Source organism: Homo sapiens, chromosome 9 (assembly GCF_000001405.40).
Source record: "Homo sapiens chromosome 9, GRCh38.p14 Primary Assembly".
NCBI lineage: Eukaryota > Metazoa > Chordata > Mammalia > Primates > Hominidae > Homo > Homo sapiens.
The window spans coordinates 42,389,644-42,406,644 of record NC_000009.12 but is presented as its reverse complement, the minus strand read 5'-3'; positions in this window follow the sequence as shown (position 1 = coordinate 42,406,644).

The following is a 17,001-nucleotide window of genomic DNA, read 5'->3' as shown; positions in this document are numbered from 1 at the left end:
TTGTATTTTTAGTAGGGGAAGGGTTTCACCATGTTGGCCAGGCCGGTCTCAAACTCCTGACCTCAGGTGATCCGCCCCGATTGGCCTCCCAAAGTGCTGAGATTACAGGTGTGAACCACCATGCTGGCCTAGATATTTTTACATGAGATTGTGGATGATAATCTCATTTTGGGTAGATTTGTATTCTGGGTAGATTTTTATCAGGGATCCTGATTTAAAAAGAAAAAAAATAAATTTTTTTTCTGGTTATGATTAGCATTTTTCATTAATTACCACCTATTTTAGTTAAAGTAGCTCTATTTAATTCATACAACATTTTATTTGTTAGTGCATGGTGCAATTAAAACAATAGTTACAATGTCATGAAGGACCTGCGCCAAGAATCACATGACACCACATAGCCATCAGTACCTATGACAATGCTACTTTTAAATTCTCATTTTTTAATGAGAATATTGAGGCTCCAAGATGTTAAGTAACTTTCCCAAGAATACACAGCTAGTAGATTCAGATTTATAAGGCCACAAAGCCTGGGTTCTCAGTTACTACTCTGCTCACTGGAACTTGTGGGAGCAAATTCTGATCAACTTATAAGCTCTTCTTCCCCAAAAGATCTTATCTTGGAGAAGAAGGAGACCTCTATACTGCAGAGCTAAAGTTTTGAGTAGGTCGTGCTTGACTTCTGGGGCATGAAAACTGGTTTTATGAAGGTAAAATCATCAGCATTTCCATGGAGCATCTTGTGTTTCTCAGGGCATGGGAACCAACCATCTGCAGTATAAAGTAAATTTTTAACTCATAAGTCAATGGAATTGTTGTTGGTATGGATATCACCATATTATTTGGCAGGTGATTCTTATTTTTTTTTTTTTTTTTTTTTTTTTTGAGACGGAGTCTCACTCTTTCGCCCAAGCTGGACTGCAGTGGCGCTATCCCGGCTCACTGCAAGCTCTGCCTCTTGGGTTCATGCCATTCTCCTGCCTCAGCCTCCCGAGTAGCTGGGACTACAGGCGCCCACCACCACGCCCGGCTAATTTTTTGTATTTTTAGTAGAGACGGGGTTTCACCGTGTTAGCCAAGATGGTCTGGATCTCCTGACCTCGTGATCCGCCCTCCTCGGCCTCCCAAAGTGCTGGGATTACAGGCGTGAGCCACCGTGCCCGGCCTAGGTGATTCTTATTGAAATATCATAAAGGGCAAGTATTGTGACAACTTTTCTCCATGATTAATAAAACAAACAGATAATCTTTATAATACTAATCATTGCTGTTTCTTTATAAAATGTTCTTGATTACTTAAAGTACTAATAAATTAAAAATCAGATTTTTGCAACATGTAGAAGGCTCTTTTAAAAAAACTATAATATTATTCTATATTGTATTTCTGTAGGTATAATATCACATCACCATAATCTGCATGGTCTAATAAAATAATAGACTGTTTCTCAATAAATAGCTTTCCCACAATATGGAAACATTGGCAATGTTTTGTTTTTTTTTTTGTTTGTTTTGTTTTGAGATGGAGTCTCGCTCTGTCACCCAGACTGGAGTGCAGTGGCATGATCTCGGCTCACTACTACTTCCGCCTTCTGGGTTCAAGCGATTCTCCTGCCTCAGCCTCCTGATTAGCTGGGACTACAGGCATGTGCCACTACACCAGGCTAATTTTTTTGTATTTTTAGTAGAGATGAGGTTTCACCGTGTTAGCCAGGGTGATCTGGAACTCCTGACCTTGTGATCCGCCTGCCTCAGCCTCCCAAAGTGCTGGGATTACACGCATGAGCCACCACATCCAGCCGGCAATGTTTTTTAACATGTAGTTTAGTCTTCAGACCCTCTCAAATTACTTACTGAACTAAAGTATGCCTTTTATAAGAAACAACATTCAGTAATATAAAAATAAACTCTCATCTCTTCTTTACTTTCCATTTAATTTAAGGTACATTTTGGAGGACATTCTTGTGCTTACTTCATGTAACCTCACTTGCTTTTAGGTGAATTCAAAATTCTAATGTTAATCCCTTGTATTAGGGTTCTCTAGAGGAACAGAAGTAATAGGATATATGTATATACGAAAGGGAATTTATTAAGGAATATTGACTCGGATGATCACAAGGTAAAATTCCAGGATAGGCTGTCTGCAAGTTGAGGAGCAAGCAAGCCAGTGGTGGTTCCGTCTGAGTCCCCAAACCTCAAAAGTAGGGAAGCTGACAGCGCAGCCTTCAGTCTGTGGCCAAAGGCTCAAGAGCCCCTGGAAAACCACTGGTGTAAGTCCAAGAGTCCAAAAGCTGAAGAACTTGGAGTCTGATGTTCGAGGGCAGGAAGCATCCAGCACAGGAGAAAGATGAAGGCTGGAAGACTCAGTAGTCTGCTCTTCCATCTTCTCCTGCTTCCTCGCTGGCAGCTGATTAGATGGTGCCCACCAGATTGAGGGTGGATCTGCCTCTCCCAGACCACTGACTCAAATGTTAATTTCCTTTGGCAACACCCTCACAGACACACCCAGGAACAATACTTTGCATCCTTCAATCTAATCAAGTTGACACTCAATATTAACCATCTTCTTACTGAGCAGTTAACTCATAATAACACTGCCAAAGAGAACTCTAACAGTTAACAGAAGCGTCGTTTGTTGTCCTAAGTCTGTCATAATATTCTGTATAACCTTTGAAGAAACATTTAAATTTTCCTCTTTCAAGCAATGAAATATGCATTCCTTAAATTGAAAGAACATGAGCTTCCTTGATGCGTTGCCTGACATGGTGGGAAAGGTGAGCCCCTGAGTCGGAGGACTCATCCCGGATCCCATTCTCTCACAGGCTTGTGAAAGCAGAAGTCACCTTCCTTCTGACCTTGGCATGTATCCTGCTTCAAGAATGGAACTGGAGGCATATCTATTCTTATTACAAAGAAAATTTAAGTCATTCTCCTATAGAATTTTAATTTCAATCATTGTTTTAGGAATTTGCAAATATATGGCTTGCTTTGTCTTAACTAATAGAAAAAGTGTCCTTTTTCAAAAAGAGAAGTGTTAATGTAATGATAATAGTAATGACTTCACAGAATGTGTGTTCTGTTCCAAGCACTTTAAGCATATTAACAATTTAATCCTCACAGTAATCCTTGGAGGATGATATCATCCTGATTTTGCAAGTGAGACAACTGAGGCACAGAAAGGCCAAGCCTTATATAGCAGAGCTGGGATTTGAACCCAGGATGTCTGGCTCTTAATGCTGTTAGTTTACATTCTTAACTGTGGGCCAGATGTGTGTAACTGACTATCAAACGTGGTTCTGACACAAAATTCTACATCTAAATTCCAATCTCCATTTTACATTTCTGCTAACCTGACGGGGGAAAAACTTTTATTTTAATATGACCAGGGATCCACATTTTGAAAAATATTGCCAGTGCAGTCCTGACAGCCACTTCTTCATTCTTAAGCACCTGGGAGGAAACTGTTCAGAAGTGGTTGGTTATGAAATGGTAAAATCAGCTCTGCCCTGCTGATGAATCCAGAATAATTACCAATGACTAAGTCCAGCCTCATGACCACTTCTTGAGTGACATTGAGTTTGCATCCTAATTTGAAGTTTACAATTCTGGCAAGATATTGGACAGCTGCAGGGATAATTTTGTTCACAAATATAGATGCAAAATTCTATGCTGCGTTAAAGCTATTTTAAAGAGCATATTTTAGGACTAGTGTTTATTTCCTTGTGTCTAAATTTCCTGTTTTGCATTTGCTTCAGCTAAGATTGTTTTGGGCTAAACTTATCTTCCTACACAGACCCTTGATAGCATGTAAATCAAAATAATCATAGGCATATTTAATTATATGACATTTGTTGTCTCTACACTAAAGTTTTTCTAACATTCTTAAATTTTGTCTACATAATGAATATATTTTTAACAGAAAAAAAAACTATAGGTTTGATTGCCTGCTTATTTAAATAAAAAGAGAAAGAAGAGATAGAAGAACTATGAACTCTTTATTGGTTGCCAAACAATAAAAATACCTTTTTGGGGCCGGGCGCGGTGGCTCACGCCTGTAATCCCAGCACTTTGGGAGGCCGAGGCGGGTGGATCATGAGGTCAGGAGATCGAGACCATCCTGGCTAACAAGGTGAAACCCCGTCTCTACTAAAAAAAATACAAAAAATTAGCCGGGCGCGGTGGCGGGCGCCTGTAGTCCCAGGTACTCGGGAGGCTGAGGCAGGAGAATGGCGTGAACCCGGGAAGCGGAGCTTGCAGTGAGCCGAGATTGCGCCACTGCAGTCCGCAGTCCGGCCTGGGCGACAGAGCGAGACTCCGTCTTAAAAAAAAAAAAAAAAAAAAAAAAAAAAAAAAAAAAACCTTTTTGGGAAAAAAGTAAACCCCATTGTTTCCTTGAATGTGCTTGTTCTTTCAGCTCAGTCCTAAGAGTGGATGATTACTGAGCACAGGGCCCTGAGATGAACTGAGGGACTCGCATCTCATTCAAGCCTCACAAAGCAGTGGAAGGATTAACGTTTTCTTCATTTTATAAAGAGCACACTGAGACTAAGAATGGTTGATTAGTTTGCCCAAGTTCTCAAGAGTAGTAAAATTTTGAGCCGTTAATTTAAAACAGACCATCTGGAGGTAGACTAGAGCTGAGAATGATCTCAATTAAAGGAAGGAATTCTGTCACTTTGTGAAGTTTTATGAAGAGATAAGATAGAAACCAACCTACTGAGTATTAAACAAAAGGCTATTTCCCGAAAACATCCTTCCACATTCATTCTTCAATCAGTAAAATTTTACTACCATTAAGGCAGAAAAAGGGTTAGACACAATTCCTTCCTTCAAGAAGTTTAGAGGTTAATAGGGACACTACAATATTCGTGACATAACTTAAAAGCTACATAAAAACAGTATAGAAAGGTAAAGATTTCTCTGTGAAAGAGGTATAAAAAAGAAAATATTTTCCTCATGGTAAGCTTGAAGTTTCTTCCTCCCTGGGAGGCTTAAAGGAGTCTTCGTGATGGAGATCTAGAATCCATCTTTAGTTGGTTAGTGTGTGCACATATGAGAGGGAAGGCCATGCTGGGCCTGATCCAAGAATGAGGCTGGAAATGGGTGTACTTTTAAGAAAATGAATAAATAAATAAATGATCTTGTTTGCCTAGGAGCCTGCAAGGGACTAATGGAAGCTGTGAATAGAAAGACCCTTTGGAACCAATTTGGAGATGTCCTTGAAAACGAGGGGAGTATAGAATTTTCTCCAAAAGAAGATAAGAAACCTTTAAAGGATTGTATCTGCGGAGGGGCAAGATAGTAACAAAATCTTCGAAGAGGAAATAAGCCTTTACCTCACCGCTGTTCACCTTGTTTGAGGGCTTACCTTTCACAGCATGGGCCCCTGCTCCTGGCCCTCCCCATTGCCTAGGCAGAGTTTCACTCTTAGCCTCTGTCAAGTGTGATCACCAGCTGACTTATCTATATCTTTTTTTTTTTTTTTTTTTTTTGAGACGGAGTCTCACTCTGTCACCCACGCTGGAGTGCAGTGGCGCAATCTCGGTTCACTGCAAGCTCCGCCTCCCAGGTTCACGCCATTCTCCTGCCTCAGCCTCCCGAGTAGCTGGGACTACAGGCGCCCACCACCATGCCCAGCTAATTTTTTGTAGATTTAGTAGAGACGGGGTTTCACCGTGTTAGCCAGGATGGTCTTGATCTCCTGACCTCATGATCCACCCGCCTTGGCCTCCCAAAGTGCTGGGATTACAGGCGTGAGCCACCGTGCCCGGCCATCTATCTCTTCTTATCAGTAATTGGGCAGTCTTGATACTGAGCTTCCCAGCTGTGGACCCACAACTAAATTAATGTAAGACCCAAAGATCTGAAACGCCCTTTAAGATGCCACCCTTGAGAATAAAGAATGTTAGATACCAGCAGAGGTTTATGCAAGAAGAAGATGGAGTGGTGGAGAAAAACTGGGAGTAAGAAAATTAAAGGAAGAGAAAATAATAGAAAAGAACAGTGATCATTTGTATTAAATAATGAGAGTGAAAATAGGGCTAACAGTATTTTACAGGTGTAGTGGATCACAGGTTGTTGACATGTAACCAACAAGAACTGGACGATATGGCTGCAACCCTTTGTCTGCAAAAGCTCACATGTATTGGCTAGTAATGTTCAAGTAATTAAGAGGACATTAATCAGTTAAATATCTATCCACACATGTTTTCTCTAAAAAAATTCAAGTCTCCATTTTTTTTCTGTCTAATACTTCTGACTTCAAGGATAGAATCAAGAGAACTGGGACCAGGAATTGCAACTATTGCAATGAGGCAAATCCCCACAATGTCCCAGGTCAGAGTTGAGAGAGGCAGCTAAACAATGGGACTGTACCCACCTATGACATGACCTTTTAAAACAGCTCTTTTTTTGTGCTTCTTTAGATGGATAGAAGTGAACTTATATCTATGCTTTGATTTTTGCAAAATTCTTAGTCTGTAAAAGATATAGTTGTGACTAGGAGACTAACTCTCATTTGCCTCAGTCCTAAATTCAGTGTGTTCAGTATAACATTGAGGAAATAAAAATCATAATAATGATTTCAGAAGTGACATATTAACTCCATATTTTTGAAAGAAAGTGTGGTCAGGCTCTGTGCTAAAAAAAATTCTACCTACTGATGTTGCAAAAGCGTGTCTTGAGATGATCTTTACAATGAAAACTAGATTTCTGTGAATGTGCAATGACTTTTGGGTCCTTTTCTTTTCATATTCAAATATTATTTCCCTTCTGTGATATTTCCCCTTATTTATGGGTTTCTTTAATCATATGCATATATTTTTTATGTTGAAACCTAGTAAAGGTATAAGCTTTTGTTTCATTTTTAGCATGAACCTAAGAAGCTCTTCCATCATGATCTATGGCTTTCATTATTGATTCTGTTTATAGACAGGATATAAATATAATATGAAAATCAAAAACAAGTTTTAAACAAAAATTGTTTTTAAAATTAGATTTTTCTCTTCAACTTAAATATTTTACCCTTCCAAAGGGTGAGGGAAGGGGGAAAGATGAAAGTGGCAGAATTAATGTAGAAATAAAATGTTTGGAGCAGAGCTTGGGCTTTTTCCCATAGAGTGAATACTAAATTTTATCAGTATAATGATCCATCACAGTTTAAAGAAGCAACACATTTTCCAATTACAATGATAACTTTTAACATATCTAACATTTTAACATCTCTGTATCTTCTAATATATTAGACTTGAAAAATTCTGTAGTGATTGCTTGTCTCAGCATTTTGCAAACATCATCCTTGCTGTACCAAAACAGAGTTCGCCAGTTTTGGAAAGATGTGTGCGTGGCTGAACCTCTTCTGGGACTGGACAACGGACAGCAACTACTATACGTGCAAGTAGTTGTTCTCTGGTGAGCTGAAACAGTTACTCACATCACTTCCCATGCTCTGAGGTTCAGATGAGGAGCGCTGGTAGAGAAAGGCAGCTCTAGATCTTTGTAAGAAGGTAATAAGACACGAAACTGTGCCCTTCAATGGAAAGTATTAATATAATACATCTCTCCAAGGAAGGGCTGACAATGGGAGTTGAAAGCCACCAGACAGTAAGTGGCTCTCAAAATGAGTGGGAAGGTAGTTACACAAAGTTGGTGCCCCCATACTTGTCTGGAGGCCTAGCTGAAGAACCAATCCTAGCATGCCCCTCCAATCATCGTGGCCACTCTAGGAACCAGCCCTAGCCACAGCCCTACTAGGCAAGAGTTGTCATGCTTCTTTTACAAACTTCGAGTAGACTTAAAGTTTTCCTTTTGTCTTCTTCACCAGAGAAAGAAAAAGTTTACTTTTGGACAGGTTGCATTAAAGCACTTTAGATATTCTCTTTTCTCTGGTGGAAGCCCGTATCTTAGGAGACATGGGGAACCTGCTGCTGGCTCACCTGTCACAGAACTGGATCATGAAGCTTTCATCTGGTTTTTCCCAGGTGGGCATTTTAAATTTCTGCTTCAAAGTCTGTCTTTGTACTTTTAATAAATAAGACATTTGTACTGATGGAATCTGCAAGACAGGCTTGAAGGAAAAAATAAATGTCTCAAAGTGAAAGTCAGTTTCTTTTTACATGAACAGTCATGTAAAAAATGTATTAAAAATAGCCTTTTTGACTTGGAGATCTATTATGTTCAGTAGCTAAACTATAACACAGAAGACCACATGGAGCACATACATGAAATATTGTTGAGGTGGCCATTTGGAGTCCTGGGTTCTAGTAAGGACTCCACTTCAATTGGCCGCATGATCCAAGGACGGGCATATCACTTCTCCAGGACTTAGGGTCTTCATCTCTAAAGTGAAGGCTGAACATAACAGGTACCCTTAAAGCTGCAAAGCATCACACAACATTTCACACCTGTTTACCTTCTCATTCTCTTAGATAACACTTTTTCTCTCTTTTCTCTTTCCTCAAAATGCCAGTGTCTCTTCTCCCAGTCTCATTCTTAGCTCCCTACTTCACCAGAAAACTGAGGCAATCAAAAAAGAATGTCCATGAGCTTCCAACATCACATTGGCTTATGGCTCTGATCTGAATGTGTCTCCTCCATAATTCAGGTATTGAAACTTAATGGCCAATGTGACAGTATTAAAAGATGGGCCTTTAAGGCCATGCGGGCTCCTCCCTCATCAAAGGGATAAAGGTCTTTCTAAAAGAGGCTTCACACAGCGTCTGGCCCTCTTGCCATGCTACCTTCTGCCAGGTGAGAATGCAGCGAAAAGGACCTCACCAGATGCCAAAAGGACCTCACTGTCTCCTTGATCCTGAATTTGTCAGCCTCTAGAACTGTGAGAAAATTAATTTCTTTTCTTTTTTTTTTTGAGACAGAGTTTCGCTCTTGTTGCTCAGGCTGGAATGCAATGACACAATCTCGGCTCACTGTAACCTCCGCCTCCCAAGTTCAAGGGATTCTCCTGCTTCAGCCTCCCAAGTAGTGGGCATTACAGTTGTGCGCCACCACGCCTGGCTAATTTTGTATTTTTAGTAGAGACAGGGTTTCACCTTGTTGGTTAGGCTGGTCTCTAACTCCTGACCTCAAGTGATCCACTGCCTTGGCCTCCCAATGTGCTGGGATTACAGGCATGAGTCACTGCACCCAGCCAATTTCTTTTCTTTACACATTACTCAGGCTGTGGTATTCTGTTATAATAACACGAATAGACTGAGACCAAAATTGATACCAGGAGAATGGAGTGTTGCTACAACAAATACCCGAAAATGTAGAAGCAGCTTTGGAACTGAGTAATGGGTAGAGGCTGGAACCGTTTTAAAGGGAATGCTGAAAAAGCCTGTATGGCCCAACATGGCACATTAAGGGTGATTCTGGTGAGGGCTCAGAACAAAAGGAGAGCTGTAGGGAAAGCCTGAACCTTCTTAGTTTATCTTAGACAAGTTCTTATATTATCTCAGTGGTTGTGACGAGAATACTGGTAGAAATATGGACAGTGAGGGCCTTTATTATGGTATCTTAAAGAGAAATCAGAAACACCTTACTGGAAACTGGAAGAAGGCCATCACTGTTACAAAGTAGCCAAGAAGTTGGCTGAATTATGTTCCTGCCTCAGTATTTTGTGGGAGGTAGAACTTAAGAGTGATGAACTAGGATACTTGATGAAAGAAATCTCTAAGCAGCAAAATGTTGAAGGAATTGCACGGCTTCTCTCAACTGCTCATAGCAAAATGCAAAAAGAGAGAAATGACTTAAAGATGGAATTTATAATCAAAAGGGAAGCTCTCACATGTAAAGAATGTAAAGATTTGAAAAATTCTCAGCCTGGCCATGTAAATAATAAAAAAGCATGTTTAGTAGAGAAAACCAAGGGTGTGCCCAGTTGACAGTCCGATAAGCAAATTAGTGTGAATAGCAGGAAGCCAGGAGCAATTTATCAAGATAATGAGAAAATGACCCCAAAGACATTTCAGAGATCTTTGAGGCCACCACATTCTTCACAGGCAGAGTGCTAGGGCCTTGGGGGCTGAACAGGTTTGAGGGAGGGGCCCAGGGTGCCCATGGGAACTTGGGGCTTACCATCCAGGGCCGCCTCAAATCTCTGCTCCCTGCATTCTGGCACAGTGCTCCTTGGCTGCCCCAGCTATGGCTCAAGCAGGCCCAGGTGTGACTCAAGTCACTGCTTCAGGAGGTATAGGCCATAGCACTTGGCAGCACCCATGTAGTGCGAACTCTGCAAGTGCACAGAGTTCAGGAGCTTTGAAGGCCTAGCTTCCTCCCCTAGGTTTCAGAGAATGCCACAGAGTGTCTCCACCAGAGGAATACACAGTGGAGCTGTGTGAGTGGGGCCACCTCAGAGAGTACTCACTAACACAAAATCTAGTGGAACTATGGGGGTAGGGCCATGCTGGAGACCTCCACATTTTAGAGTCACCAGGATGCAATGCCAGCGTGAAAGAGCTGCAGGTAGGAGACTCCAACCCATGAGGGCTGTGGTGTGGGCTGTGCCCAGCAAAGCTATGGGGTTGTGGCCTTTGGAGCCTTGGGGATCCAACCCCTGCCCCAGTCTGCCTTGACGGTAAAACATGAGTCAAATAAAATTATTTTCAAGCCTTAAGATCTAATGTTGTTTGCCCTTTTGGGTTTTGGATTTACTCAGAACTTGTTACCCCTTTCTTTTAGCCAATTTCTGCCTTTCAGGATGGGAATGTCTATCCCACACCTATACCACCATTGTGTTTTGGAAGCTAATAACTTATTCGACTTTGCAGCCTCATTGCTGGAGGGAAATTTGCTTCAGGATGAATTGTTCCTTGAGTCTCACTCATACCTGATTTACATAAACCTCTGGACTTTAGACTTTTGAGTTGTTGTTGGAATGAATGAAAACTTTTGGGGCTATTGGGATGGAATTAATAATGTATTTTGCACATGAGAAGGATATGAATTTTGAGTGGCCAGAGAAGAATGCTATGATTTGAATGTATTTCTGCCAAAATTAATATGTTGAAACTTAATGAAGAATGTGATCATATTGAGAGGTGAGGCCTTTAAGAGGAATTAGGCCATGAGGATTCCTCCTCCATGAATAGGATTAAGGACTGTCTTAGTCCATTTTATGCTGTTACACAGAATACCACAGACTGGGTAATTTATAATAAATAGAAATTTATTGGCTCAGTATTCTGGAGCTGGAAAGTCCAAGATCAAGGGGCTGACTCCTGCCTAGGGCCTTCATGTGTGTCCTTTCATCGTGAAGGGCATAAAAAAGGGGTGAGAGAGAAAAAAGCAGGCCAAATAGGTCCTTTTATAGGGAGCCCACTCCCACAATAGCAGCATTAATCCATTTATGAAGGCAGAGCCCTCATAGTGTAATCACCTCTTAATACTATTTTAATGATAATTAAGTTTCTAACACATGATTTTTGGGAGGACACATTCAAACTGTAGCAAAGCCCTTAAAAAACAGGCTAAATGCAGCATTTGGCTCTCTTGCCCTTCTGCCTTCTGTCATGTGCACAGGCAGCAAGAAGGGCCTCACCAGACATCAAATTCTGGCATCTTGATTTCGGGCTTCACAGTTTTTATACCTGTGAAAAAATTAATCACCCAATCTGTGGTCATCTGTCACAGCAGCACAAAATGAACAAAGACACTTACCCACCAGTACCTACACCCTCAGAGTCTGCCTTCTCACCTTTTAACTTTTAACCTTTTAACTACCCTTACACATATACAAAGCTCATACTTCAACTATTCAAAAATAGAAGTCGCAAGATTAGCTCACCTCTGGCCTTTGGATTTTTCCTTGGAAGATTCTATTAGCATCCAGTCCTGCTATATTCCCTATCCTTAAGGGCACGACAACAATAGAACACAAACAAAAAGAAACTTTTCTTGGCTTTACTTTCTCTGCGAGCTCCTGTCCCATTTCTATTCTCTTTTGCAACACAATTCCTTGAAGGAGTTATCCACACTCTTTTAAAATATTTTTCTCTGTTATTCTTGTAAACACAGTCCAATCAGATTTTTCAGCACTCCCCCTACACTGCTCTTGTCAAAGTGTCCAACAAACCTCACATTGCTAAAATCAGTGGTCAACTCTCAATTCTCACATTACTCACACTATCTGCAGCATCTGATATAATTGATTACGACTCTTCCTTGTTAATTTTTTTCTTGTTTCAGTCAGTCTTTTGGCATTAGTTCCATCCATATGCCACTGACTTCCAAATGTGGCTCTCTTAGCCAACACCTCTCTCCCAAACTGCAAACTAAAATTCCAAAAGGCTTATTTGACTCTTTTTAGATGTCTTAGAGATATCTCAAACTTATCAATGTTCAAACCTGAACTCCTGATCTTTGCATTCAAAACTTTGTTTACCTGTAAACTTCCTAATCTCATCTGGTGGAAACTCAATTCTCACACTAGCTTACACCAAATATTTAAGAGTCAGACTCATTTGATGGTCTCTTATGAGCTCACACTTGCAGTTTCACTCCTATGGAGCTCAGCCAGGGCTAGAACTTCCATTATGGTTTAAATCATATGGCTGGTAGTTGTGCTGACTACTGGCTGACTCTGGGGCTCTGTTCTCCTCCGTCAGTCTAGCTTAGCTTTCTATCAGCATGGCAGCTGCATTCCAAGACATAAAAAATGGAAGGTGTGGGGATTCTTGAAGTTTTGTCTTTGGAGTTGCACATTGTCATTTCTACCACATGATATTGGTTAAAGCAACTCATAAGATTAGTCCAGATTTAAGGGGAGGTAAGATAGAGTCTATGTCTTGATGGAAAAGTGGAAAAGTCATATTGCAAAAGGGCATGTAAGATAGAATGGAGTGTTGCAGTCGTCTTTGGAAACAATCGACCGTATAGGACATCTTCAAATTACAAAATAAGCTACTTGCCCTAGAATGTGCCCTCTTTCCCCTTCTGTTACAAGCACATGACCCAGCTGTGATTAGGCAGATATGGACCATACCCTAGGGCATGGAATAGCAAAAAGTTGAAAGAAACCTGTACTTGGATAATCATGCAAAGCTGAGTTGCTCATCCCATGACTGTTAGGTAAAGACAAAAAACTTTCTTCCATCTCCGTTTCTACCCGTTCCCTTTCACCCTCACCCCTTGTATCTTTGATGTTCCCTGAACTGGCCAGGCACTCTCCAGCCTTAGTCCTTTTAATTGTTCTGTCCACCTGAAACATTCTTTCCACAAATATCTACAGAGCTCGCTTCTTCACTTCATGCAAGGGTTTATTTAAATATCACCCACTTAATAAAGTATTTTTGACCACACTTTTTAAAATAAAAATCCATGACTAATGAAGACTGACACACATTTAGTCCTTTGAACAATATCTAGATAAAAATGTCTGTGGAGTGAAAAGAATAAATGCTGACTTTGCTGTTCACTGGTTTTCTTCAGGAAAGTCTCATTATTTCTCAGACTACTTCATCAGAAAATGGAGATAACAATGGCTTTCTTTTACGGTCATTGTGAAACTTAGATGGCCCCGTGTTTGAGAAGTCCTCCTTATGAGGTCGCCCTCATGATTGCTCTTCACTTGAGTTCAGGCTCCCGCTCTTTGTCACTCCCCTTTGTGGAGACAGACAGACTTTCTGGAGCTGACTAACCTTGACTAACCTCTCACTACCCAACCCACATCTGGCTACAGGGGAAAGAACATTGTCACAGGAACTAGGCTGGTTGTACCATCCCCACAAGAGTGTATTCAGATTCTTCTTGAGAAGAGTCTAGAATTGCACCAGAACTCTGATCCCCAGCCCAAAAGCTTGCATCAATGTGGTATTTTTATAAACATGTACATACTGAAATGACTACCATAATCAAGCTAATTAGCATATCCATCACCTCACATATTTACCTTCCTTTTTTATTGTATGAGAACTCTTAAGATCTATTCTCTTAGCAAATTCCAAGTATACAATACAGTATTATTAACAATAGTCACCATGCTGTACATTAGATCTCCAGGACTTATTTCTCTTGCATAACTGAAATTGGACTCTTTACTCAACGTCTCCCAATTTCCCCTACCCCCAACCCCTGGCAAACATTACTCTATGCTCTGCTACCTGGATATTTTGTCTCTCTACGTACATTTTAGATTGCACAAAATAATTTGCTGTTGTAATGAATGGCATTGCACTGGATCCACAAATCAAGTTAGGAAGACATCTTGACAACATTGAGTCTCTCTATCCATGTATATGGAATAGCTCTCCATGTATTTAGTTCTTTGATTTCTTTCATCAGCTTTATAGCTTTCCTCATACAGATCTTATACAAATTTGGTAGATGCATACCTATGTTTTTAATTTCTAGGGGTGCTAATGTAAATGATATTCTGTTTTTAATTTCAAATTCCACTTGTTTATTGCTGATGTATAGGAAAGTGATTGATTTTTGGATATTAGCTGTGCTCTTATTTTTATTTCCCTCATTTTCCTTGTTTTGAATTTACTTTGTTCTTCTTTCTTATTTCTTGAGTAGGAACTTAAGAGTATTGACTTGAGGACACAAATGATGCTGAATAGCCAAAACAATATTTAGCAAAAAGAACGAAGCTGGAGGCATTATACTCCCTGATTTCAGAACATGTTATAAAGTGATATTAATTAAAACCACATAGGTACTCCTATAAAAACAGACACATTGACCAATGGAACAGGATAGAAAGCCCAGAAATAAACCCAGCCACTTGATTTTTGACAAAGGTTCCTAGAACACACAGTGGGGAAAGCACAGCTTTCTCAATAAATGCTGTGGGAAAAACTGAGTATCTGCATGTAGAAGAATGAAATGAGATCCTTATATCATACCATATACAAAAATTAACTCTAAATTGATGAAAGACTTAAATATAAGACTTGAAACTGTAAAACTATTACATGAAAACAGAGAAAATGATCCAAGATATTGGTTTGATCAGCAATTTTTTTGGATATAACCCTGAAAGCATAGGGAACAAAAGCAAAAATAAACAAATGGGATGACATCAAGATTAACTATCTTAATTATATTATTTGATGAATAGAAGTCATTAATTTATAGAAGTTCAATTTAATAAACTTTAAAAATATTTGGTGTCTTTTTGGTCCTATTTAAGAAATCTTTGCCTATCTCAAGGTCATGGAAGATATTTTGTACTTTTTTGTTATAGAATTTGTATTGTTTTTACTGTCTAAGCTTCCACATTGTGGCCTATGATCCATCCTGAATAAATGTTGCTAAAAATTAAACTTTGACTTAGCTTACTATAAATGATATTTATATTTATGTATTACATAATTTATTTACATATTCTCATATGTAATACATATTATTTTACTATAAACACTATAATTAAGGCAGAATAGATAGTTTAGATACATATTCATGAAGATGCCACTTCCATTCAACGGACAAAAGGATAGTCTTTTCAATAAAATTTACTAGGTCAGTTAGATATCTGTAGATGTGGTGGGTAATTTTGTCTTTAAACTTGGCTGGGCCACAGTGCCCAGATATTTGGTCAAACATTATTCTGAATGTTTCTGTCAAGATTTTTTCATTTGGATAAGAATAATACATAAATCAGTGGACTTAGGGTATGCACATTACCCTCCATAGTGTGGATGGGCCTTCTCCAATCAGTTGAAAGACTTAATAGAGCAAAGACTGGCCGGGCACGGTGGCTCACGCCTGTAATCCCAGCACTTTGGGAGGCTGAGGTGGGCAGATCACGAGGTCAGGAGATAGAGACCATCCTGGCTAACACGGTGAAACCCCATCTCTACTAAAAATACAAAAAATTAGCCGGGCGTAGTGGCAGGCACCTGTAGTCCCAGCTACTCAGGAGGCTGAGGCAGAAGAATGGTGTGAACCTGGGAGGTGGAGCTTGCAGTGAGCTGAGATGCCACTGCACTACAGCCTGGGCGACAGAGCAAGACTCTGTCTCAAAAAATAATAATAATAATAATAATAGAGCAAAGACTGACACTTCCTGAGCAAGGAGGAATTCTGCTAGTAGACTGCCTTTGGAGTCAAACTGCAACTCTTCCCTGGGTCTCGAGCCTGCTGGCCTAACCTGTAGATTTTGGATTAACCAAGCCCTTACAATTGTGTAAGCCAATTTTAAAAAATAAATCTCTTGATATAGATAGGTAGATAGATAGATAGAAGGACAGATAGACATTCTGCTTTTCTGCTGGTTCTCTTTTCCTGGAGAACCCTGACTAATACAATTCGGAAAAACACGTATCTTGACCTGCACTTCACCATGCACAAAAATTAATTTAAAATGAATCATAGTATCCTGCTCATTTTTAATTCTTCAGATAAAAATTTACCTACTATATCTTTAGAATAAACTTTTAATAAAAGTTAATTAAAATTAAGTTTTAATTTTATTTTTATGTTTTTTTCTCTCCCTTGTGAAACAGTAGTACACTTGAAAACAGGAGAATTTTTTTTAATGTTACCAACGCAGTTCCTGGTAACAAATTTTTAGAGGCTACTATGTGTCAGGCTCTGTGATAAGCATTTTAAGCACTTTACTTCCATAAGTCCTCGGAATAATCATACCCTCTTATGTAAGTATTATTATGACCACCAAATCACAGATAAGAAAACAAGCATTAGAGAGAAATTAAGTCCAACTGATTCTAAATGCAGGACGCTTGTACACTAGGTCTCCCTACATGGCTCCTCAATAAATAAATTCATTAAGAAATAAGAAGGGGCTGAGCGCAGTGGCTCAAGCCTGTAATCCCAGCACTTTGGGAGGCCTAGGCAGGCAGATCACGAGGTCAGGAGATCGAGACCATCCTGACTAACATGGTGAAACCCCATCTCTACTAAAAACACAAAAAAATTAGCCGGGAGTGGTGGCGGGCGCCTGTAGTCCCAGCTACTCGGGAGGCTGAGGCAGGAGAATGGCATGAACCCAGGAGGCAGAGCTTGCAGTGAGCCGAGATCGCGCCACTGCACTCCAGGCTGGGCG